Source organism: Homo sapiens, chromosome 4, assembly GCF_000001405.40.
Source record: "Homo sapiens chromosome 4, GRCh38.p14 Primary Assembly".
In the NCBI taxonomy this organism is placed as follows: domain Eukaryota; kingdom Metazoa; phylum Chordata; class Mammalia; order Primates; family Hominidae; genus Homo; species Homo sapiens.
In genome coordinates, this window is record NC_000004.12 from 181933581 (window position 1) to 181959663 (window position 26083).

Consider the following 26083-nt stretch of genomic DNA (forward strand, 5'->3'; position numbering starts at 1 on the left):
AGGGTTAATAGGTCTATCTAGCATCTTCCATTAGTGGGTGTCACTGTGATGAAATTAACAAAGCCCTATTCTGAAGACTTTCCGGACCAGCTTGGAAGCATTTTGTGATAATGGTGCTCATTGTAACCAGATTTGACCTGTGGTTTAGTATCAGCAACTAAAAATGCAGGCATTTAACTACACTGAATTTAATTCTAGCCCAAACCAAGCTTTTTAGTCAGCCTACGATATCACAAGAAATATTGTAGAATTGAATAGTTAGTTGCATTCAATCAGACTCAATAGATTTTTTGTGTATTTTTAGGTGAGAAATGTGAAATTAAGGTGTATGGGATGTCTGCATTTCCTTCTCTTCCTGGCTATCTTTATTTAATATGCTCAAATCAGTTATTAGGTTATCAATGTGTCTCTATTATTTCTAGAAACAGTTTGATTAAATTGATTTTTCTATAGTAAAATTCCCCTTTCTGTGTGTGTGTGTGTGTGTGTGTGTGTGCGCGCGCTTTTAAATCACACTTAAACATACATAGGAATATGATGTTGGACAATGCGCTAATTGAAGTGAAGAGTTTAATGGACCTGATAGAGGGTAAGGACATGCCATACCTCAGTTGATTGCTTCTCGATTAGGACTCACATTGCTATCCCATTCTTCCTTTTGAGTATGACTTGAGTCTGTACAGTGCACTACATAAATGATTTTCCATGGCTTTTTAAAAGGCGGTGCATATTAATATTTTAAACTGAAGTAATTGCTTCTTGCTCAGCAATGGGTTTCATTTATGAGTGTTTATCCTCAGCAAATGGAAAGTATGGTTAATCTAAGTTAAAAATGGGTTCTTTAAATAGCTCTAATTACATTCTGTTTATATTTGTATGTATTAGACACTTAAGATTTAATCGGTAGCAGTTCTAACAAGCCATAATGTTTATTAGCTGGTTTTAAATTATTGTTATGGATGGGACTGGAATGAGAAAATAAGTGATTTGCCTACTATCAAACACAGTAAATAAAAGATGGACCAATGCTTAAAAAAGGATTTTTAGCATAACTTCAAATTTTAATATAATTTATGAGAAAGAGGTCATATTAGGTCAATTCTTTTTCTTTTTTCTTTATTTTTTAAACTCTAACAATAGAAAGAATGTGGTGTCTAATGGCATAAGATTAGTGGAATTTTTGTTTTCAAAAATTATTAAGATCCTAGTGTTCGAGTACTAGAAAAGAAGGGACTAAATTTTGCATTTTAATTCACATTTATTCAGAAGGAAAACTGACATGAGACATAACATGTTGATTTTTTAATGAAAAAAATTGTTTTAAGTTGATATGATGCTAGCTTGTCTATTTAATTTGCTTAAACTCTATATTTTGATTAACCAGAAAAGACTTTGTTGGATTCTGCTTCTTCCCTGAGAAATTTATCCAAGGACTTCCTCTAATCTTTGAAGAAAACTTCTGAATTACACATGGCTCACACATAGTGAATTAGGAAACTCACAGTCATTTTATTGACATTTAATTTTCAACTTGTTTTATTGTAATTTTCAAGATATGCAAAATGAAGTATAATTCAAAAGACAGTTTATTAATAATAACACCTGTATCTCTATGGAACTAAAAACATTTGTGATTGTTTTCAAAAGGCAATAGTATTCCCAGAAAAGAAGTCTGTAGAATTATTAGTGTCATTTTATAAATAAGGAAGATGAGACAAACATTACAACTTCTTTACAATGTGAAGAACGTAATCGTTTCATCTCCACCTTAAGCTCTGAGCTCTGTCCCTAGAGCTATAAGCCACCATAGCCTGCTAGGCTAGTTCTTCTTTTGCAGAAACTCTCATTCCTCTTTTGTTTTCTATTTCTGTTGCTACTTTCTAGAGGATGTCCTTGCTACCTTATGCCTGAAAATAAAGCCTTGCTAATTCAGTCTAGTCTCTCTCTGCCCAGCTACCGGGCATCACTATGGCACTTGTCCCCTTAAGCACCCACAATCATGCCACTCTTCACTCTCAAAGCTGCCAAGAGGTGACCTCTCTCTATTGGATACAAGCCCACATGGCTCATCTCTGCATGCCGGGCACTCCTGGATCCTGTGCCTTTACCAGGCCTTCCAAACTTACCTCCCAGTGGTCTGCAAAACTCTCGAATCCCAGCCAAGCCTCATGTCCATCTCAGGGTTTCCCTCCTCTGCACCGATGCCTTTCCATTTTCTTGAAGCGCACTCTACCGACATCGGGCCTTATGGAAATCTCCCCTATTCTTGAAGCCTCAGACAAACCTCATTTCCATTATAGTCGCTTTCCAGATCTGGGTTCCGAATGCATTTGTTTTATATCATTCATCTGTCATGTATCCTATTTACCTCATAGCATAAATCTTCATATCCTTGTTCATATCCAAGCTATGTAACTCTAGCTTGGCACATAATAGGTACTCCGTTCATATTTGTAAATAGATATTTATTACGGGATTAATGAATGTTGCTCAGTGCTGAGTGCTTTATTTTGCATAATTAAGAATCAGGGCTGGATGCAGTGGCTCACACCTGTAATCCTAGCACTTTGGGAGGCCAAGGTGGGTGGATCACCTGAGGTCAGGAGTTCGAGACCAGCCTGACCAATGTGGTGAAACCCCGTCTCTACTAAAAATACAAAAAAAATAAGCTGGGCATGGTGGTGTGTGCCTGTCGTCCCAGCTACTCGGGAGGCTGAGACAGGAGAATTGCTTGAACTTGGGAGGCAGAGGTTGCAGTGAGCCAAGACTGCACCACTGCCCTCCAGCCTGGGCGACAGGGTGAGACTCCATCAAAAGAAAAGGAATCAGATGTGAGAGTGGCTGATAGGTAATATTTGAATTAATTAATTAGTTAATTACTTTGTAGAAATTGTGAGTCATCTCTTTCGCCTACCCTTCACACTCTTTCAATAACCATTTCTTTCTATTCATCATTTCCTGATTTTGTCCTATGTTGGTGCAAGATGTTGGTGCCAGCCATCTGGGGGTGAACAAGACAGTCTTTGTCACCATGAGTAATAGTCTTAGAGAATAGCAGGGAAGACAAACACAAACAATAATGGCAGTGAAATGTGTTGAGCGTTATGGCTGAGATTGACAGGAAATTATGGAAACGAAGAGCAGAGGACCTATCTGGCTTAATCTAGGGGACAGGAAAGACCTCCCTGAGGAAGTGAGCTTTAAACCAAGACCCAAGGAAAGCCCAGGACTAAAACAAGCAGAAGGGGAGAGCAGCAGGCCCCTATAATTACCAAGGCCCCATGCTAGGCTCTAGGCGCAAAGGGGGAAAAGAAAACAATGTTTCCTGCCCCCCACGAAGCTTTCATAAATAATAAAACAATTTGCAATAAGCACTGTGAAGAAAGCAAGCAGTGTGTTGTTGTAAAGAGGTAACAAGTGGGGAGAATGCCATCTAATTACATACAGTGGCCAGAATAGAAATTTTTGAAGAGATGCCACCTAACCTGTGATCTGCAGGATAAGAAGGAGGTGGCCCTGGGCAAAGCAGGTATGGGAGCATTCTAAGCGAAAGCACCAGCGTGTGCAAAGCTCTGACAGTGGAGAAAACTTGGACCATCCAGAGAAGAGAAGGAAGGCCAAGGTGGCTGCAAAGCTGTCAGTAGAGGAGGTAGCCTGAGATGGGATTAGCAAGGTGGCCTTCCCAGACTATGGAGGGCCTCCTAGGCCAAGAGGAAGAGTTTGCTTTTGATGCTAAGTGCATTGAGAAACCATTAGTGGGCTTTAAACAGGAGAGAGGCATGACCCAGTTTATACTTTAAAGTACAACTTCTGCAAGAAGATGATTCCTAGCGAGGGAAGAAGAGGGGCAGGGCATCTAGGCTGATGGTAGCTTAGCCATCGTAGGAAGAGTGACGATTGAAGTGGGAGAATTCTACATCCATATGGGAAGGACATTGAACAGGACACATGCATTGGATGCAGGGGATGAACAAAAGAGGAATAAAGAACATGAGGACAGACGTGATCATGACTGCACGAAGGCCTTTTGCTAACTTCTTCCTTCTAAGCCTATTTCTTTGCCCCAGTGCTGCTTCACACCCTGGCACTACTACAAAAGCTGAGAACTTTCTTGAATTCTTTACTATAAATTGAGTTCAGAAGACCTTAGAACAAGCTTGGAGGAAAAAATATGTGAACTCTGATGAATGCCAATGTGACTTTCAGTCTTGAACCTGGCTGCTCAGTTGCCCCAGTCATCTTTCTCCCAGAGTGGAAAGTTTTAAAAGTCTCTTCAAGCTGCCTCCATCCCCAGTGAAGAGACCATGACCCCACTTAAGATGTGATTTTCAGGTGAGCCTGAAGAGATGCCTCTGAATTAGCTCCTCCCTTTTCCATCCAAGGCTCTGTGGCCCTTCCTATATCACCAAGCCACTGAGGATAGCAGCTGGGCCACACAACAGTTTCACCCCTTGCCGATTCTCAGTTTTTATCATACCTTGGCTCTGGTTGTATGAATAAGTAATTTCAAGTAGATCTTAATGTGGAACTAAGCTAGTTTGATTTCATGCTTGCTGCTACATGTGGCTAAGCTTATATTCTAGACATTATAACGTTTTATACCTAGAAGGAGCCTTAGCTGTCATGTTATCAGATGTCTTTATTATATAGATGAGAAAACCAAGATGTAGAAAGTTAAAGTCATTTGGGGCACGTCATAATACTCCAGAAAATCGTAACCTTTAGAAAGCTCTGTATTCTAATTCTAACCACATCTCTTACCAACTGTACTAATTAATTCATCTCTATACCCTCCTTCAATTTTCTTATTTTAAAACAAAGACAATAATTCCTACTTTGCAGAATAGTCAAGGGGATCAGAGATAATACACAACAAGCATATGATATTTACAAAACACTCAATAAATTGTCATTATTATATGTTCACTTTTCGTTGTCCACTGTTAAAGTGACAGTATCACTTAGTAGCCGATAAAGGCCTAAAACTCGTATTTCCAACCTAATGCTCCTTTTTATACACAGCATACAGCCTGATAGAAATTTTCATGAGTTCATGGACTCTTCCTCAGTCTATTTAGGAATAACAAACAAATGCATCCCCCACCTCGTGCCCATTTCGAGCCCTTTGAGAGTTTCTTGTGCCCTGGAGAATTAGGTACACAATTTGTAACTTTATTCAGCAGTGAAATGCCACTGTGGTCGCAAAAAAGCTAAAGCAATATTTCAACCCTAAGAACTAGGTCTGGCACCCAGAATAAAAGACTCTTTTAATAGGAAGAATAATCTATCAATTTTGTGAAAGGGCTTTTGGAAAAGGCTCAAAGTCCTACTGCAATATAAAACATAAATGGTACATTGTCCTAGTTTTTTGCTGGAAATTGTACGTTAGCACTAAAGAACAGAATTTCTTTTGCTTCAGTCTGCATTTTTAGAACATGCTATAAAGACAACTCTATTTTCTAGGGGTTAATAAGTAATGTAAGAAAAAAAAAGATGGCATGGATTAAATGAAGATAATAATTATAACAGTAATCTTGTGCACTTTTTCATACTTAAAGTATAAAAGAAAATTTGTTTCTACCCATGAAAGAAAAATCCTCTCCTTATTATTATTGTTCTATACACTTTCTAGAATTTTCTTATACTAAGATATGGTTATAATCCTAGTCCTGCAGGAAGGAAGGTATGTGTCTCTGTGTAAGAATGCCGGGAACTCGTTTCTGGTATCAGCCACTTGAGTGTGCTCTAGAATCGGCGTGTAGCCTGTCTGTTCACCAAAAAGGTGGTAGGATTCCTAGGAAAAGCTCCTGGAGATTTCAGAGTGATGTCCTCCATGGGAAACAGGCCAGGAAGATATAAATAAGAACCGCAGAGAAAGAGCTGTGGCTGTGATCAGCCTGTCGGTGTTTCAGTACAGTCAGGCGTGCCTGTGAACCTTGGAGAGAGGGCAAAACGGTAAGATCGGAAACTTGTGCCCTAAAAGCAAAACAAAATTGTTTTCTGGACCTCTTCCGTGATCTGTTTATTTCTCCACTTCTTTCTCTTAGTTTTAAAAGCTCCAATCATCTCAGCTGAACTAAGGGGAAGAATGTGTCTATTGTTGGACAGCTATATAAGGGGTTGGGGTGCGGGGCGCTCAGCACATGGCAGGGGCCAGGGTGAGTGGAGAATACCGCTTGATGAGAGAACCCCAAGGCGGAGAGGTGTCCGCTGCCTCCTCCAGGGTGAATCTTTTAGGGCCTTGGTTTTATTTTAGTCCTTTTATTAAAGCTAGTGTTCTTCAACAACCACTATTTCATTTCATTGCTTTAAATTATATTCTAAATATTCATTTCTTTTGCCCTGGTCTCCATAATAAAGACTTTCAAAATATCGTGACAAGCAATTGACTGAGTGGAGAAACACTGAAAGCTGGAGGAATTTAAGCAGAAATGCACGCTTTATGCACATGTTCTTTATGTTCTAGCTTAGATTCCTTCGGGATTTTTGCTGCACTATTTTGAAGCGAATCCATCAATAAAAAATAACAGTGATAATAATAACTTTGAAGTATGCTCAATGAAAATATAGCATCTCTGCATACACAAAGTGTCTTGTTTTTTATAATGTAAAGTTGGTCTGTCCCTTTAGAATATAAAATAAATAGTGCCAATCTCCCTTTTCTTCATGATCTGAACATTAAAATATTTTTTTACTTAGGAAATTTCAGCTTGCTTTACTAAAGGAATATTTCAAACATACAAGAAAATACAGATGTCCTCTAAACCAACTCATACAGTGTACACATATTTAGCTTCGCCAGAATCACTGATTCAATCAGTTATCTATTGAGTATTTACTACGCATTGAATCCTGCTCTACTGAAAAAAAAGTTCCAGTCCGGTGCAGTACATATGCTGTTAGGAGAACACAGGTAATAAATAATAACCATAATAAATAAACTATATAACATAATAGAAAATAGTATGTGTTACAGAAAATTAAAGCAGGGTAAAGGGAATTGTGAATCTCATGGCAGGATATGGTGATAAGACTGCAATTTTATGATAGGGTGGACTCATTGAAAAGGTAAATTTGTGCAAAGACTCCACAAAGGTGAAGTGAGCTAGGCAGATATCAGGAAACAGCACAAAGTCCCCGTGGTAGCCAGCCCTCAAGGTCAGTTTAGTGTGGCAGAGGAGTGACATGGCATATCTCTTCTTCTGAAATTTCACTGGGGCTGCTGTGTTGGAAATAGGGTAGAATTAGAGAAGTCTATGAGGAGAGTATTACAGTCTCCCAGGCAACAGTTAATGGCATCTCAAAACAAAGAGGTATCAGTGTTTGTGTTGGCAAGTGGTTAGATTCTGGATATATTTTGAGGATAGACCCATCTGAATTTCCAGATGAATTGAATACCGGGTGTGAGAAAGAGAAATCAATTATTTATTCATGGTTATCAGGCTGAATAACTGGAAAGATGGTGTAACCATTCCCCGAGCTTCAGAAGACTGCGAGAATGGGAATGGGAGGTGGAATCAAAAATTTAGATGTTACAAATAACTCTCAAAGGAGTTTGGAAATATTTACTCCTACTAGCCACGTATGAGATCATGTGTATCCCTCCATCAGAGTTCACTTCTATAATCTGAAAACTCGTGTCTTTAAATTCAGAAATACCCACAGTCCTTATCACTCAATACCACCTCTTCCTCATTCTCTACTCTCTCTTTCCAGAACTTTTGTTTGATGTTTTTTTTTTTTATAGCTATTTGGCTCTATTTCATCTATTATTACTTTTTCATTTCACTATGCTGCATTCTGGATGACTTCCTTAAATATCCCTTTTAAATTACAGTTCTTCCTACCTGTTGCCTGATCTGCTATTAAGCTCATTTGCTTTTTATTTCAATGACTATAATTTTCACTTATAAGGTTCTATTTGGTTTCTTAGATCCACCCATTCTTTTCTAGATGGGTGTGTTCTTTCTATCATTTGTTTTATCGCTTTAGTTATTTTAACTGAAGTTATTTTCTCATTTCTTTCTTAGCCTTACATTATGTCAATGACTTCAGATGCTAATTCATCTTTTCTTTTCATCTGATCACTCCCTCTCACTTGTGAATGATTTGCTTTCATCATTTACAGTTTTGTTGTTGTTGCTGTGGGGTTCCCGAGGGTGAGGAATATCCCTTGTGCCTGGGTTATGGACATGATTCTAGAGGTTTGGTTTTACCTTTTCTTTCCCTGCCAGCTCCAGTTGTTTCACAGGACTGACATGAGTGTCTCATGAATTGGAATGAGATTGTCCATATCATAAGTAAATATTTTAAGTTTGATCCCCACATCTGCATGTTGAAGAGGCTTGGAGTTAAAATTTCTCGCAGGAGACGCTTCTATCAGAACACCTAAAAAACAACAGGCTTCCCTGCCTCTCCCCTGGATAATGGACAAAAATTTCCACAAAAGAGGCAGCCCTTCCGGTGACCTGCTTTCGGCCGTGATCTTGGTTTCTGATGCCTTCCTGTGTGAGGACTCAGGCCGCCTCTTCTGGCCTGAAATGGACAGTCACTTCCTAATCTCTGCGTGCCAACTGGCACCAATTTGGTATTACCCAAAGGACTTTGGTATCAGTTGAAGATCTCTTTCTGTTTTTTTCACCTAGAAATTTCCTATTCTTTCTTTCCAGCATTGCTATGATGTTGGGCCTTTTTTTTTTTTTTTTTTCAATTTTTCATTACCTTTTATCCAAAATTATCAGTTTGGAGTTAGAAGCGGTTAAATAAGATTTGTGCAGCCGGTGGTGATATCTGATAATCTCTGTGACATATGAGGTCCTTCAGGCCTTCTAAGTGCCTAAAGGACCACTTACTTTCTAGACTGAAGAGAGGCCCAGAGTCCTGAGTGAGGGACCAGTGGGGTGGCTGTTTACCAACCAACACCCAAGACTTTCTTAGCCATCAGGGCAGCTATGTGGATGTGTATCAGCCAAATATCAGACTGCATATAGTGAGTTTTCTTTTCTTACTGCTCTCTGCACATAATTCATATTGTCATTTACAGCAATTAGATAAGGAGCTCAAAGGAAAAACACTACCCCGGGGATAAAAGACTGGGAAAAAATATTTGGCCATTAAATTATTCAAAGCAACATGAAACTATCTTAAAGTCTATTTAGATTGCTTTGTTTCATGAAATGAGGGAGAATGGAAAAAAATATTTTTAAATCTGAGAGTCAATTTCATGTCCTTACTCTGGTACAAAATAAAATACATATTGTAAAGGTACTTAGCATTATAGTTACTCACATTTTAATTAGTTCCAGGTACTTCAACATTTAATCACAATTTAAAAATCATTATATTCATACCTTTGATAATAGGTTAATAATATTGACATTGGCACTTATTTTCTAGAAATTATAAAGACAATCTTGGCATATTCAAAGAGGCACATAGATTATATCTGTAAGAATTGCCATTCAAATATTTTGGGAGTAAAACACCTTTTGAACAAACTTGTGTTTTATGTCTACAAATGTAATTTTAGGGCAAAGGAAGGGTTTTGGTATGCAGGCTTTTCTACCTCCTGAAAGTGGTAGAGTCCCTGGATCCCGGGTAGATTGTAACAACCTGTGTATTTGAGCATAGAAGATTTATAGATTAATGTCAAGGTTCTCAGTGATGCCTAGAGTTAGGCATTATGTTTGCCTTGCCTTGGAAACTACTTAAAAAGACCTGAGCTGGGTAGTTTCTATGTGTCTATTATTTCCAGCCTTTAGCCAATCAGATTACAAGCAGGGGAGAGTAGAACAGGAGGTTGGGTTCATTCCGATATTTCCAAAATTTTGTCAAAAATTGTTTCTGACTCCAAAGATTATTCTTCCAGCATTAGTTGGTTAAGAAAATGCTTAGTAACAAAAATTTACTATTATTTCAGTGATTGTGGTGGATGAATGTTCATTTCCATGCCAATTCAATATATATTTGAAAAATAGTGGTGTATGCAAGCTGTTATTAATTAAATTCACTTATTTAATCTGTTTCTTTGATGCATAAACAGATTCTGGGAATTGCTTGTGACACCTCTTTGCCCGCCAGAATCTGGAGTTAAATGCTGAAAACTGTTGTTCCACAGACCGTAGAAGCAATTGAACACATATGCAATTATATGCAAAGGCTTTTGCATATAATTCAGCTGTAGTTCAGCTTCATCATAGCCTGATCAGCTGACACAGCAATCACCCCAATTATTCAATTTTTTGGTCTGACACGTTTCCGCAGGGCCCACAGCCTGTGATGTGGATGGGATAACAATCATAGTAACTCAAATTATAGCTCTTTCTCTATCTCGCCACACAGAACCTCAACCTCCTATAAAATATCCTTAAATTTCTGAGAGACCCAAGCTGTGTGTCTCTCATGCTCACTAATAAACTTCATCCCACAGAACTGGTTTTGTCCAGTTCTGTCAGTTGTACAAGTCCTTTTTGTCTCTAGGCACCAGGAGCAGGTATTAGTCAGGATTCTCCAGAGAATAGAACCCAGTAGGATCTATAGGGATATATAAAGGGGACTTGTTATGAGAACTGGCTTGCTGGATTATGGAGGCTGAGAAGTTTCATGATCTGCCATCTGCCAGCTGGAGCCCCAGGAAAGCTGGTGGTGCAATCCCGTCTGAGTCTGAAGAGGGTGGGACACTGATATTATAGTCTTGGGGGGGTCCCAAGTCCTGAGAACCTGGAGCTCTGATGTCCAAGGGAAGGAGAAGATGGATGTCCCAGCTCCAGAAGAGAGAATATTCACTCTTCCCCTGCTTTTGTGTTCTATGTTGGCCCTCAGCGAATGGGATGTTGAGCACCCACACTGGCGAAGGGGGATCCTTTTCACTCAGTCCCCTCCATTCAAATGCCAACCTCTTCCAGAAACACCCTCACAGACATGCCCAGAAATAATGTTTCACCAGAGATCTGGGTATGCCTTGGCCTGCTCAAGTTAAGACATAAAATTACCATCACAGAGAGAGTATAGGCCTGTTCTTCGTTCTGCCCTCTGACTAAAGCCATCATCCTGCCTGTGATGGCCGGAGCCACCGTGCCCCTCTCCAACATAGGGACAATGCCTGACTGCCCACTCTGGGCCACACCGTGCCTCTCTGTAACCTTTGTGTGAACAGCTGCTTGCCTTGCCGCCAACGGGCCACCCTCCTAAGTGTTTGCAGACAGAGCCTGGGTCCCCAGGCAGGACAGACACCATCCTGTCATTGCCACCACACCCCTGCAGCACCTGTGTACAAACGCCAGCCTCCCTCCTTCCTCTTCCACTTGAAACAGAAGCCTAATTGCAAAACTATTCCACGGAGCCCTCCACTTAAACTGCTCATTTATCTGTCAGGTGACTGAAACATGCTTGCCTCTCAGGGAAGACACTGTGGTTGATCTGATATTGCAAACTGTGAAGAAAGTTTTCACATCTATTTGCCCACCACGACAACCTTAATGTGATGAAATTAAAGGGAAACTACCACTTCACTTCCGGTTTGGGGAGGGAAGTAATTTTGAGAAAGGAATGTGAATGGCTTGTTTCAACAGGGAAAGATAAGCAATGTAGGGCTTTGGAAAGATGTATAAACTACAGACGGCAGCAACTTAAAATTAGGGGTTAAGAATGGGCTGCTTAGCTAACCCCAAGAGGCAGTATATATTCCTAGAAACAAGGGTAAAACTGCCTGAGAATCATCAGAAGAGGCGAATTAAAATAGTAATTCAGAATAGAGTGGAGAACAGCACATAAGCAGGAGCGACTGCTGCTTTCATCCGAAGAGCAAGATGGCCGCTCGGAGCACGTGGGGACGTAGGAATGTTATCATGGTTGGAAAGATTGTTCTTTCCTCATTCACATTGTGAATTGGCCTAAGGCTATTTAACGGACAAGAGCCCCTGCTGTCCTCAATTTTAGTTCCGATTGCCTGCCCGAGACTTCTTCTGTACAACTTCCACCAGCAGGTAACTTAGTCAATCTGCTTGTGTATGAGGTTGGGGCACCTCCAACCTCATATACAAGCAGGTTGACTAAGTGGAGTCAAGCAGATCAATGAAACGAAGCAGTTAAAAGTCTGTTCTCATGTTGATAGAGCACTGGCTTTTTATATTTCGTTAATTATCTACAAAATACATAAATAATATCTGTAAAACATTTCCAGTACAACAAAACAGAAGTTTTCCTTGACTCTTTCCCAAAGGTAACGAGGGTAATCAATTTGACTGGTAAATATCAAGACATTTTTCCTATGCCTACGTATACACTCACACAAGCACACGTGCACATACACACACACCCACACAGTCTGGAGAAATATATATACACACATATTTTATTGTTCCTTTCTGTGTGTGATCATTTTAAACTTTACATATACAAATAGGTCCCTATTGTTCCATAACTTGGTCTCTTTTCCTATTTATCATAAAGATAATTCCATGTTGCACACTTTTGTTCTTCTTCATTATTCAGTTTACGTGAATGTCACCGATTGAAGGAAAATTAGGTTGTTTTTATTTTTCACCATTATAAATGATGATGCAGTCTACACCCTCATACACACATGAATATATCTCTAGAATATATTCCTGGAAGTAAATGACCAAGCCACAAGTGATATACATTTTAATATTTACCAGCTACTGCTCAGTTTTTCTCCAAAAGTCTAACCAAGTTACACTCACATCAACTGTGTATGACAGTACCCACATAAAAATACACCCTTGCCAAAAATAGATGTTATCTTTCTTTTTACCTTTTGGCAACATGCTAGAAGGATATCTCACATCTCAGTTTATCAGAATCCACTCATCTTTCAAGACGTGGCTCTAAGGACACCTCTTTCATCCACACCCTCCCAGAGCCCCTGAAAGTGGCTCCCTACACCTCTGAATTACTGCTAATTTGTCCAAACCTCTCATTGCATTCATCACATTCCATTTTATATTATACTTATCATTAGTGTGTATTCTAACCTCTGGGTTGAGGGCAAGGCCAAAGACCATGGCCAATTTATCTTTATATTTATATCTCCCCTAGGTCCTTATTTTAGTGGCTTTTACATTGCTGGGAGGTAATAATTTGTAAAATACACAAATACAAGAAGAGAAAAAAGAATGAATAGAGTTCTATTCTAAATGAATCATATTTTATAAAGAATTTGTGTTACGTGTATTTATGATTTATTCTGAGCAAACTCAGAAGGCAGTGGGTATAAAAAAGGATAATCAAGTCGGGAGAAAATCTCATAGAAAATCCACTCCTTGGTTCATGTCTGATTTAGATGGAGAAAAATATTTGACTCCAACTCACAATTCTTTTATTCTTCCTCAGTGTAATAAGCACTATGGTTACATCAGAAACACTGAGTTCAAATCCCATGTAAATCACTGACCGTGTTTGTGACTTAGGAAAATTCATTAAGATGCTCAGAGCTTTGACTTCCTCATCTATAAAATGGGCTTCATAATAACCATCCTAGCCGCAGGATAATTATTTCTTTTTACCAGAGTTGTTTACTCAGTGCCTACTGTGAGTCAGGCACAGAAGCTATAAACATGAGTACATTGTGGGAATCACACGAGACAGTGTATGTAAACACACTTTTAAAATAATAAATTGATATATATGGATGAGGAAGTACTATGCTACGTACACTTGTGACAAAGTCTATTTTGCTATTTTTAAAAATGCAAAATTGAGTAACTAACTGTCTTCTATTGAAAAATTTCATTCCATTAGAAAAGACAGATTTATTGTTTTAATAGACAGGTTTTATGATTCACAAGCTAGATATTTTCCTAGACTTGTGATTGGTTTTTGTTCAAAAACCTATGTGAGCGCTGGTATTTCTACAATCTGTCTCTATTCTTCCCGTTTACTCTTTCACTAACTCATTCATATTCTTAAAGATGGTTGATAAAATAAATCAGTGAAGATACTGAGGAGTGTTACCATTCTCTTCTTTATGTATTAAACGTCTCATTGTATATTTGAAAAATGTTACTTATAAAGTTACAGCAAAATTCAGTTCATAAATAAAATAGAAAATAATGAGATCTTACAGATAGTTGCACCTATTTTGATGGGAAAGTCTTTGCTCCTCAAGTTCTCAAGAGCCAAAAAAGAAAAAAAAAATGCCCTTTTTGCTCTAACATGTTGACCTTTGAGTCTAAATTAGTGCAGTATCAGTGGCAAAATCTGAACTGTAAAATGAATCTGTTCGGATTAAGGGTTTAGCTGTTGCATGGCTAAATGGGTCAAGTTCTCTTAACTGATGGATTTATCTGATACCACCCCAAAGAGGAAAAGTTTAGATTCAAACAAACCGGCCGGCTTTCAATATTTCTAGTATATCACACTTTTTCCATGAGACTCACAACCTCTCAAGTTTGGGAAGGGGAAAAAAAAATAAATTCATACTTGCAGCTTCTTCTCTGAGACAGCCTTAGTAAAGAAAAGCGAGCACTCACTCTCAGGGAGACACAGTTTTATTTGGTAACTGAAGTTTGAAAACTATAACCGGTACCACTGATTTGCCTTCAGCCATGCAATAATTTATTCCAATTTCTATGGAGGTTACAAAACACACTTAACTCTTAAGGAGAATATGAGGTTCTTCATTTGCCAAATTTAATTCACGGGGGGAAAAAATAGAGACTATAATGCTTCTATTGGTTGTATATAGAACATTTTAATAGGATAAGCTGATATAAAACGAATTTAATTTCTTGTAACCTTAAGAATAAGGAAATGCTTAGACAAATTTATCAGCTGGCATACACAGCCAATAAATTATTTTTTATATAATAGAAAATAATTTTTTCTGTTTTTAAGATGGAGTCTGGCTCTGTCACCCAGGCTGGAGTTCAGTGGTGCGATCTCACCTCACTGCAACCTCCACCTCCCAGGTTCAAGAGATTCTCCTGCCTCAGCCTCCTGAGTAGCTGGGATTACAGGTGCACGCCACCATGCCTGAGTAATTTTTGTATTTTTTTAGTAGCGACAGGGTTTCACCATGTTGGCCAGGCTGATCTCGAACTCCTGACCTCGTGATCTGCCCACCTCAGCCTCCCAAAGTGCTGGGATTACAGGTGTGAGCCACCGCGCCTGGCCGGAAAATTATGAAAGCCTTTGTCTGAAGAGAACTAGATTCTCTGGTGGCTGAAAAGTACCCCCACCCCCACTGTCTTCACCCCAGTGCAAAGGAAAGTGTGGATGAATGCAGATTTTCCCATTTAATTTCCACAAAGTATGTGTTCTCCTGCCTGGGTTTATATTGCTGCCTAATGAAATAATCAGCTAGTATGCAGTAGGGGAGTGCTAGTGCAGGAGGGGAGGAACCATCCTAAAAGGTCTATTATCCTGTCAATATGTGCACAGGACTCTCATTAATGTTAATTAGATTTACCCGCCAGTACAAAGGGGAGGCTAGACCTTAAACAGCAAGTTTGAAAAAACTGATCTAGCAATGCCAGACGTAGAAAAAAATTAGAAATCATTCCTGCCTCCAAGCAACCTTAACTCATGTAAAAGACATTTATGTGGCCATTAACCCAAGCAGAAATTGAACTTGTCAGCATTACATGCAGAATGTATATATGGGTAACCGTTCATGAGCAATTCCTCAAATGAATTAAATACAAACTGGATTTATTTCTAGACAGTAGAGGTACTCTGTCCATCATCTTCTTAATAGAACAACTGCAAAAGGTTTAGGTTTTATAGACCTTTTATTCATGTTTGCCTTTAAGGCAGAAGACTAGGGATGGAAAGAAAGAACTGCTGTTGAAGATTTGGCTTATGAATGAAACCAAAAACCTAGGGTCATCCTTGTCTTCTCTCTTTGTCACATAGCACATTTCCAATCCATCTGCAAATCCTATTATTTTCCTCAAAATCAATTTGAAATCAGACCTCCCTTTCTTTCACCTGCACCTCTACCACCCTGGCCCAACTCAACATGTGTCTCACCCAGATTATTGTAAGAGCCATAACCTGGACCCTATTCCTCCGCATGAAAGCTAGAATGTCCCTTTTAATATGAAAGTCCAAGCCTGCCATTCTCTACGTATCCCCTTCAATGGCTGGCCATCTCACTCAGAGTGAAAGCTTCACAATGATCATCACAATGGGCCTGCCCTCACCCACACCCTCTCTGAGTTCACACCCTCCACGTTCCTCCTCAGTCCTCCTCAGTCCTCCTCTCAAGCCCCCTGCCTCCCTGGTGGTCTATGGTTGTGCCAAGTGACCTCTGACCTCCAGGTCTTTCCACTTGTTGTTCCTCTCCCTCAAATTCACTTCCTCCAGGCCTCTGCACAGCCACCTCCTCGGAGAGCCCATACCTGACCATCCTAACTGAAATAGCAACCTCACTTTTTCTCAGGTCTCTGAGCCTAAGCCAAGCCATCACATCGCCTGTGACTTGCACGTATATACGCAGATGGCCTGAAGAATCACAAAAGAAGTTAATATGCCCTGCCCCACCTTAACTGATGACATTCCACCACAAAAGAAGTGTAAATGGCTGGTCCTTGCCTTAAGTGATGACATTACCTTGTGAAAGCCCTTTTCCTGGCTCATGCTGGCTCAAAAAGCTCCCCCACTGAGCACCTTACGACCCCCACTCTGCCCACCAGAGAACTCCCCTTTGACTGTAATTTTCCTTTATCTACCCAAATCCTACAAAATGGCCCCACCCTTATCTTCCTTCGCTGAGTCCCTTTTCGGACTCAGCCCGCCTGCGCCCAGGTGAAATAAACAGCCATGTTGCTCACACAAAGCCTGTTTGGTGGTCTCTTCACAGGGACGCGCATGAAACTTTTCACTTCCTGTATTCCCCCGGCCTTTTCCTGCTATAGTTTGCTCCATTGCATATTAACACCATGTTACACCATATTAATTGAACATTTATTATGCAATTATCTGTCCCAGTTGAATGGAAGCTCCATGAAGGCACTTGGTCTGGGTCCCTGCTGTTGGCCCAGCACCCTGGACAGTGCCCAAAACACAGTGGACACTCAACAAATGAAGTAAAATATTGTTGTGCTCATTGTGGGCACATTGTATTCATGCACTGTTACTAACAAACTGTGAATCCATTTTCTCAACATCTGAAAAATTCTCCAAACTACATTAAGAGATTATTTAAGAAGATACAACCAGACACAGTTGCTCATGCCTGTAATCCCAGCGCTTTGGCAGTCTGAGGCAGGAGGATCACTCAAGCCCAGGAGTTCAAGACCAGCCTGGGCAACATAGTGGGATCCTGTCTCTACAAAAAATAAACAAAATTAGCCAGGCATGGTAGCATGTGCCTATGGTCCCAGCTACTCGGGAGGCTGAAGCAGGAGAATTGCTTGAGCCCAGGAGGTGGAAGCTGCAGTGAGCCATGATCACGCCACTGCACTCCAGCCTGGGCAACAGAGCAAGATCATATCTCAGAAAAACAAAAACATCAACAAACAAACAAATAAAGAAGATACAGCCATAGATCAGCTTTAAAAATCTTAATTTGGATAATGTTATTTTTCCCAGTTTTCTTTATTAATTTCCCACATTGGATGCTTAAAAATATCTTTTGCACTCAATGCCTTTCATTCTTCAGTGTCTTACTTGAAGCCCACACACATTTTTTTTCTTCCACTCCAAGTTCATTGAACAAAAACTTGCATATGGGTGACAGCCTCTATTTTACTTTTGTTAACCCTGGACCTGTCTCAAAATCAGAGTCGCAAAGAGAAAAGAACCAATGTCTTCTAGAGCATATCAGAAGTGCTAGAAACAGGAGCTTTAGCATGAGTGTACAGACCTGAATTATGCAACCTACTGGTTTTTACATGTGACATGTTGACAGAGGTTGACACTTGGTGAGTACCGTGTAGTTGTCAGCTGGCATTAAGACTTGCAGTTCATTCTGTAGTCAAAATAAAGGAAGAACGGCAAAGTCCATATTTGAAATCCACACTTCAGGATCATGGCAGCCTACAGCATTTCTGCTTTATCTACAGTACCCAGTGCCCCTCTGCTTTGCTGTGCTTGGAGATGGACACATGTAAACTCAACAAAGATATCTATTAACTGTTTATACCTAAGTGCATTTGTTCACTGTGGTCAAAAAAGTACATTTTTCTCATCAAACTGGTACATGCTTTTCTTAAGTTACTTACAGTTACATGCAACAGCAAACAAACGAGAGAGAACAGAATATGTCTAACAGAAAAGAGGACAACAATTATGATTTTAGTAGTTCCAGGAAATGTAATCGAAAGCTGTAAACCTATGGTAAAAGAGTTCAGGGAGTGGAAATTGTTCTTTATATATTGTAGGGTTTTTCCATGCTTGCTGCTTGTCTAGTGGGATATGTTTTGTTTTTTAAAAAACTTACTTGAAAGTCTGAAGTATTGCTGTATTATATTGTATGGTATTATAGTCACAGAATTAGACTTTTTAAAGAACTGTGGTTTATTCCATCCTTGTCATAATGCCTGTCGTGAATAAAGCAAGCTTTTAAACTCATAAAAGTAATTAGGGATGTGATCTGTGGAAATACTTTTACATTGTTATAAAGCTATTTGTGTTGCCTTTCTTTTGGAAGCAAATCATCGTGTGTTTCTAAATTGGGGCCTTTTTCTTCTTCTTTTAAATCGGAGAGGTTGTGCTTTCTTTGTTTGTATAATGAATAAGAGCCTTATCTGGAAATTGTTGCATAGCCCATTCCATTTTAGGTAGACCTGGAAATTCAGTTTCTTCTTTCTCTGCTAAGTGAATAAATAGACTGAGGAAGTCTTCTACCTGTCTGCCGCTGGTAATTGAATTACTGTACAACACATTAAGCAAAGAAAATTCAGAGCAGCAGCAATCAAATTATGTTCTCATGTTCCAGAGAGTGGGCTCTTCACAGAGAATGAGGAGACAAAATGTTGTAAAGTGATAGACACCAATATTCGGAAGGGAAGAAAGAAGACAATTCATTAGGCCTTGTGCTAGGCCCATCCCACGAACAACTCAGAAGATATAATGACTCAGACAGACTTTAGTCTGACTTATTTCCTTTTTGGGCTGCTTCCAGCTCAGCCAACACACAGTGCAGAGGACACGTGAGATCAACATACAAGTCTGCAGGCAGGACTCCCTAGATTTCCTTAGGGAAGGGCCTCAGATTCGGAGATCAGTTGAGCTTGCACAAAGTGAACATTGAGCCGCAGGCGCTGGGGGGCCAAGGGGCGTCCAGAGCAGAGCTGTCACTGTTTTACATTCACCTCTAATTAGGAAAGGGACCTCATCCTCATTCCAGAGTCTTTTTACTCCCTGGCTAGGCCTTTCTGTCCTGGGCCACAGTTACATGCATTCAACAGTCATTGTGGCCATGGCCCCACGGGGGCTACTGATGCGACTGATTGCACATATGTTATCTCATTAACTCACACAAAGATCCTGAAACACGAGGTTTATGTTTACCTTTATTTTGTATACAAGAACACTGAAGTGTAAGGGGTGACATCACATTAATCATAGCGGTTACCACCTATTGTGTATTTACCAATTGCTAAGTAGTGTCCTAAGTGCTTTCTATATGCTTCAAATTTAATCCTCAATATAACTCCATGAAGTGGATGCTCTTATTATTATGTGCGATTTGGATAATGATGATGGCCACCACCACCACCACCACCACCATCATCATCATCATCATCATGATCATCAGTCTTTGTGAATGTCAAGGGACCATACTTCATCACTTCAACACATAGGAAGGATATTTTATGTATCTATACTTTGTTATATGCATGAATAAGCATGCATGCACATACCCACACAAACACACACACATCAGCCCACTACCATCATATGTTAATCCCCAGGCTGTCCTGCTACATCGATGGATACAGCAAAATGGCAACAAAACACCACCAGCTCATACTTACCTCCACCTGCTTGAGGTAGGTGGTGGGTGCCTGTAATCCCAGCTACTCGGGAAGCTGAGGCAGAGAATTGCTTGAACCCAGGAGGCGAGGTTGCAGTGAGCCAAGATTGCGCCACTGCACTCCAGCCTGGGTGACAGAGTGAGACTCTGTCTCAAAAAAGAAAAAAAGAAAGAAAGAAAATAACATATGTGAAGAAGCTTTATAAACCATGAGTGGAAATATAAGCTCAGGATTGTATTTTTTTAATGTTTTATTGACATTCAGGTATAATTTACATATAATAGAATTCACCCATTTAAGTGTGTATTTCAATAAATTTTGACATATTTATACACCATGAATCCAGTACCACAATCAAAGTATAGTACGTTTCCATCACCCTGAACGTTTTCTTGTGACCCTTCTCAGTCAGTCCTACACATCTGTCCTCCCCAGCAACCACAGTCTTCTGTCACTAAGGACTGGAAGGCACAACTAGCGGCTTCTGTCACTAGAAATTAGATTTGCTTTTGCTAGAATTTCATTTAAATTGTCTTATACTGTATATGTGTCCATGTAGTTGCATGTATCAGTAGCTCATTCCTTTTTATTGCTAAGTATTATTCCATTGAATACACCTACTATAATTTGTTTATCTTTATATTTGTTGATGAATATTTTCAGGTTGTTTCCAATTTAATCTACTGTGCATAGAGTTGCTATGTTCATTTGTGTGCAAGTTTTTATAAGGACATATGTCTTCATTGTCTTTGATAAATTCCTAGAGGTAGAATTATTGAGTCATATACTAAATATATGTTAATTTTATAAAAAGCTGGAAAACTGTTTTACAAAGTGTTTGTATCACTTTGTATTCCTACCAATAATCTGTGAGAATTCCAGTTTTTTACAAATTCACCAACACGTGGTATGGTTAGTCTTTTTAATTTTAGCCATTCTAATGAGTGTGCAGAGATAAATCATTGTGACTTTAATTTGCATTTCTATGGGCTAATAATCCTGAGCTTTTAAAAATGTGTTTATTGGTTATTGTAATCTTTATTTGCAGATCTCCATTCACACTTTTTGTCTTTTTTATTATTTGTCTTTTATTAGTGAGTTGTATGCTTCGGTTATATATTCTGATTCTAGATCTTGGTCAGTGGCTTGATTTTTCATTTTCTAAAGGGTTAATTCTAACGAATGTCAATTTTGATAAAGTTTTTTGTTTCTGCTTTTTGCATCCTAAGAAATATTAATATATGCCTATCCCAAAGTCAAGATGATTCTCTGTGTTCCTTCCAGAAATTATATTTTGAGTTTTCATGATTGGATCTACAACTAGTATAATTCTGTATTTTGAGTTAATTTCTGTTTATAGTTTGTTATAAGGCATGAGATACATTCGTTCATATATATACACTTATACACATGCAGTTTTCCAGCACTGTACCAAAAGAGCATCCTTCTCCCATTGAATTACCTTAGCACCTTTTCTGAAATTCAGTGGCCACATACGTATGGTTCTATTTCTTAAATTGATATTTTTAGTTTCAACATTGCAATAAATATTACATAAGACTTTTTAAAAATCTCCTTAACCATTAACTGAGAAATTTATCTCACAGGTTTCTTGTAGGTTAAACTCACGAAGCTGTAGCTTTTTTTTATTCTAGGACATAATAATTATACAATTTGGAGGGATTCTTATTACATTTTCAGATAAGGAATCTTCCACTGGATATCCCATTATGGGAGGGGAAGGCAGAATTTAGTATATTTGTAAACAATCTGATTTTTTTCCTCACCTGCTTCCTTGCCCTTCCCTAGCACTGCAGGAGTGGCTACCTGAATTGATGTGAGCCTGATGCTCAAGCCTCCCTGAAGAAGTGGTCTTTGGGCCAATACTTGAAAGGAGAGAATCAGCCAGGAAAATGTCTGGAAGACTATACCAGGCAGAGGGACAGCAAGTGCAAAGGCTTACAGTCCTCTTACCAGCCAGAGAGAGCCCCTGCAATAGAATTACTAGAGGTGCAGCAAATCATGGCAAGAAGGGGCCAGTGATAAAAGGATGGTCTGATGGCAATCTAGCACATGTTGTGGGGAGGGGAGGAACAAGGGTTTGGAAAGACTACTTGGGCACAGATGACAAAGGGGCGCAGGTCCTAGATTTAGCAGATTAGCATGAATTGGTTGACGATAGGGAGCCACTTAACGAAGGGCTGCCATGGTAGAAAGAGTGCTTTAAGAAGATTCAGAGCCATCTTGCATAGGGTCACTGCTAGATAATTAACTATTTAATTAATTTTCCAAGTGAGTTTGAGTCAGGAAAGGGTTAGGTGGTACCAGATCAGTTAGGAGGTTATTGCAATGATATACACTAAGGTTATTCTCATGGGCATGAAAATGAAAGGAACCAAACAAGTTGGTATTACATGTCAAGACTCAGAAGCACTTGGTGTCTTAGTCTGTTTACAGAATATCATAAACTGCATAGCTTATAAACAAGAGAAGATTTTCACAATTCTGGAGGCTGGGAAGTCCACAATCAAGGCAGATTTTGTGTCTGGTGAGGGCTTATTTCCTGGTTTCTAGACAGTGCCTTCTCTCCGTGTTCTCACATGGAAGAAGGGGTGAGAGAGCCCTCAGGGTCTCCTTCCTAAGGGCACTACTCACATTCATAAGGGCTCTGCTTCCATGATCTAATCACCTCCCATAGGCCCCAGCTCCCAATACCATCACCTTGGGTGTTAGGGTTTCAATGTGGAAATTTTGAGGAGACACAAATATATAGACCATAGCACTTAGTAATTGAAATATAAGAGCAACAATTCATACTCTCAGAATATTGCATAAGTGTCTTCCATTTTCAATAGACACCCATGACAAAAGTTGTATGCCAACCTCTCATGGTATGAGTATCTATGCCTTTATAATGTATGTTCCATGAGGGCAGGTGTTTTTCTTAACTTGGTTCACTGCTATATTCCAAGTAGCTAGAAGAGTATGCAGCACATAGTAGGTATTCAGCAAATGTGAGATGAATGAAAAGTATCCAAAGATCAGACAAGTCATCTTGAATCTGAAAATGATATTATAAAATCATCATTACTGTGCTGGAGAGTTACAAGATGTTTCTTTGATTACTTGCACAAATGCAAGGAAATCAACACTTGGCATTCTTCGGATTCCCAAGGCTAAAAATTTATTGGGGAGGTGATGAATGTCCCAGCCAAAAGAAAAAGCTACGCTACATAATAGATTTCAGATGCTATAGGCACTTGCTTTATTAATAGTACTGCAGATGTGTTATATTTATCTGGACTACATATGATTTAGATTAACGGGCAACAAATATTTATTAATTCAAACACTTTTCTTATTTAGAAGGCAGTCAAGTTATGTTAGTAAGGAGAGCTACTGCCCTAGGATACTACCTAAAACAGCAGAAGGAAATAATCAGATTTTTTTAAACTTTAAGCGATAACTCTGTAAATTATTCTCACTAAAATAATGGTATCTGGAAAGTGACCATTTTTGCTTGTTGATTTCAGTTGGCATTGCTGGAATGACCTATCTCCTGTGTCATCTGACACGGCAGGATTCGATGTCAATGCACATGCTGCATTATGAATGTTTCAGAGCGTTTGCTCTAATGTAAATCCATGTAGACTGTGTAAAGATGCTGTTCTGCACAGTTTATTTTGTCTCTCGGCCATAGAGCACTAAGCCCTGGACATTACTGTGTACAATGGGTTTTGAATTCCATGCTCATGGACCACGGCCAGCATCACACACAGAAGTTAATGACCGATTGTTATCTTAGCCCATAGCTTGCATTCCTTTTCATAAGACTATTTCAGCAAGGGGGCGGATCACAAAGTACAGGATTAATTAAGGTCAAATCCCAGTGAAACGTGCAATCTATTTTCTCAAGGAAGGAACTTGGAAGAATCACAGGGTGAATTTTATAAACCAAAACCCAATTTTTAAGATAATGTTTAATTAAACTTGAAGCTTAATTTTCTTCTTGTTTAAAGAGACAGAATAGTAATGCAACATAATTTAAATGTGCCAGTATATCAGCAGACGGGAAACATTTATCATTGCTGTGAACTACTGTAATTTACAATGGTGATGGGCCACCCTGAACATCCTAACAATTCAGGCATGTCTAGATCATCCAACTAGGCAGACACTAGTTTGCTAACATCTGACAGTAAAAATTGATCTTTGGGAAACCATTGAATCTGGGTCCAGTGGTGTACTGTTATTTAAAAATTTGGGTTTTGATAGAGAACGAACAATGAAGTCAACCTTGTGGCTCAGCGCACTAAATGTTCTCATTTCAATGTGTTGTAAAAATGCTGATCCCACCCAACTGGGATTATAGTTTCGGATTGTGCTGAGTTTCTGGAATGCTTACAAAATATGTTTTTCTTTGGGTATTATAATGTCATTTTCTTCTAATTATCTCCTGATAATTTTTCCTATCATATTATGAAGTCTTGGAAGAAATTAAAAATTAACCTTCTCCATTAAAACTCACAAGTAAGCTTCTTTGAACTAAAATCCTTTGCACATTTCAAGCTGTTCATACTGTTAAAGAAAGTAAATTATACTTGAAGGGTATACTTAAAATGGGAATTTTAAAATGAAGATTATCTGCCTTTCTTCCTGAACATAGACACATAATCTTGCCTGTTCTGGTTCCATCTTTTCCAATATAGGCAGTTGCAGGGGTGATTAAGTACCTCTGCAGAGAAAGTTAGAGTGAAAATCAGTTCAATGATAAATTAAATGACAGATTTTCAGGTCTTTTTGTTTGTTTGTTTTTGCTTTTTTGGACTCTATTATCAAACAATAAGAATTAGACTTTCTAGTTGCCTGATAGTTTGTAAACTATTTAAACTGTTTGGAATGCAAATATCCTAAATTAGGATTAGAGTAACTGTGTCAATAATACAGTAATGATATGAGTAAATCATACTTGCTTCACTCTACATCAGATAGAGTTTTTTAATAATTTTGTAAAATTCCTGAGATGTTTGAAGCTGGGCATGTTGTCTAATATTTATGGGCTTTGGTTTCTGCCTGTGTCGAGTGGGTAGGCTGGAAACTGCTTCACAGAATGTCTCCCTTGACCTCAAGCCAGTAATATACAGCCCTCCCATGTCCTTCAAACCACCAGGAGTTGATCCCCAAGAGAAAACTTCACATACACAGTATTCATCCCACTAGAATACTTGATTATACATTGTAGAAGCCAGTGACAGTCTCCCCTCAGTATCATATTCTCAGAATCTAGCAGAATACATACTACGACACAGTGAAAAATCAATATTTATTAAATAATGTAATTACCTATTTAGTGCACAGGGTTAATGGATGATTATGGGGGAGAATGTATATAAACGTATTTCAATAACTATATCTAGACAATGTATTGATTCACTAATAAAATCATAATACACAAGTATAATTATACTATAAAAATCCTTGAGGTGAAGAATCAGAGCATTGAATGGTTTTTTGTTGTTGTTGTTTGTTTGGTTTGGTGAATCGATTATTATTAATTTTAGTTTCAGAATCAAGTATTAAATTCTGTACATATTATATCTTCAAAAAATTGTTGTTGTTTGGTTATGATACACTGAACTCAAATGCCATTTCCTCTAGGAAGCCTTTCTTCAACTCCTCATCTAAATTTGGTGTCCCAGTCCCCACATTCCAGGCCCCCAGTGGTTTTTGTCCTAGCTCTTGTCATACTTTGTAATTACAGGAATCTATGAGTATCTGTTGACTGCCCGTCTCTCTCACTGACTGACTCACTCACTGAAGCTGGGGGCAGCCTCTGTTTGGATAACCACGTAGCTCCAGTGTCTGACACAGCCCCTGTTTCAACAGGAGATGTTCATTATGTGTGAAGAAGGAAGGGAGTGGAAAAGGAGCAAATGAAGAAAAGAGTAGGGAGGAAGAGAGAACGGAATACAATTGTATATTTAAATTCAAATTCAGTTAATGAATTTAATAAATCCAGAGTTCCATTAAAGCAACAAAGGGTAGCCAGCTTGGTTAGCAGATCACCGGCATGCCGGCACCCCACACCATACCTTTTAATCTTTTTCTGTCTTTTCACTTGGGAGGGGGGACATCTT

General features: G+C 39.0%; 1 protein-coding gene across 7 annotated transcripts in view, besides 3 other annotated features; it reads left to right on the forward strand.

Annotated features, from left to right (window-relative positions):
* TENM3 (teneurin transmembrane protein 3) overlaps nt 1-26083 on the forward strand; it is a 1355412-nt gene that overhangs the window by 485968 nt on the left and 843361 nt on the right. The gene's annotated exons all lie outside the window — the stretch shown is intronic.
* Nucleotides 15579-16084: an enhancer, noted in NCBI's record as "NANOG-H3K27ac hESC enhancer chr4:182870312-182870817 (GRCh37/hg19 assembly coordinates)". NCBI's record gives its function as "activates a minimal SCP1, AML or CMV promoter by ChIP-STARR-seq in naive H9 embryonic stem cells {active_cell/tissue: H9 hESC(naive)}" and the evidence as "EXISTENCE:reporter gene assay evidence [ECO:0000049][PMID:30033119]".
* Nucleotides 16085-16589: an enhancer, noted in NCBI's record as "OCT4-NANOG-H3K27ac hESC enhancer chr4:182870818-182871322 (GRCh37/hg19 assembly coordinates)". NCBI's record gives its function as "activates a minimal SCP1, AML or CMV promoter by ChIP-STARR-seq in naive and primed H9 embryonic stem cells {active_cell/tissue: H9 hESC(naive and primed)}" and the evidence as "EXISTENCE:reporter gene assay evidence [ECO:0000049][PMID:30033119]".
* Nucleotides 16590-17094: an enhancer, noted in NCBI's record as "OCT4-NANOG-H3K27ac hESC enhancer chr4:182871323-182871827 (GRCh37/hg19 assembly coordinates)". NCBI's record gives its function as "activates a minimal SCP1, AML or CMV promoter by ChIP-STARR-seq in naive and primed H9 embryonic stem cells {active_cell/tissue: H9 hESC(naive and primed)}" and the evidence as "EXISTENCE:reporter gene assay evidence [ECO:0000049][PMID:30033119]".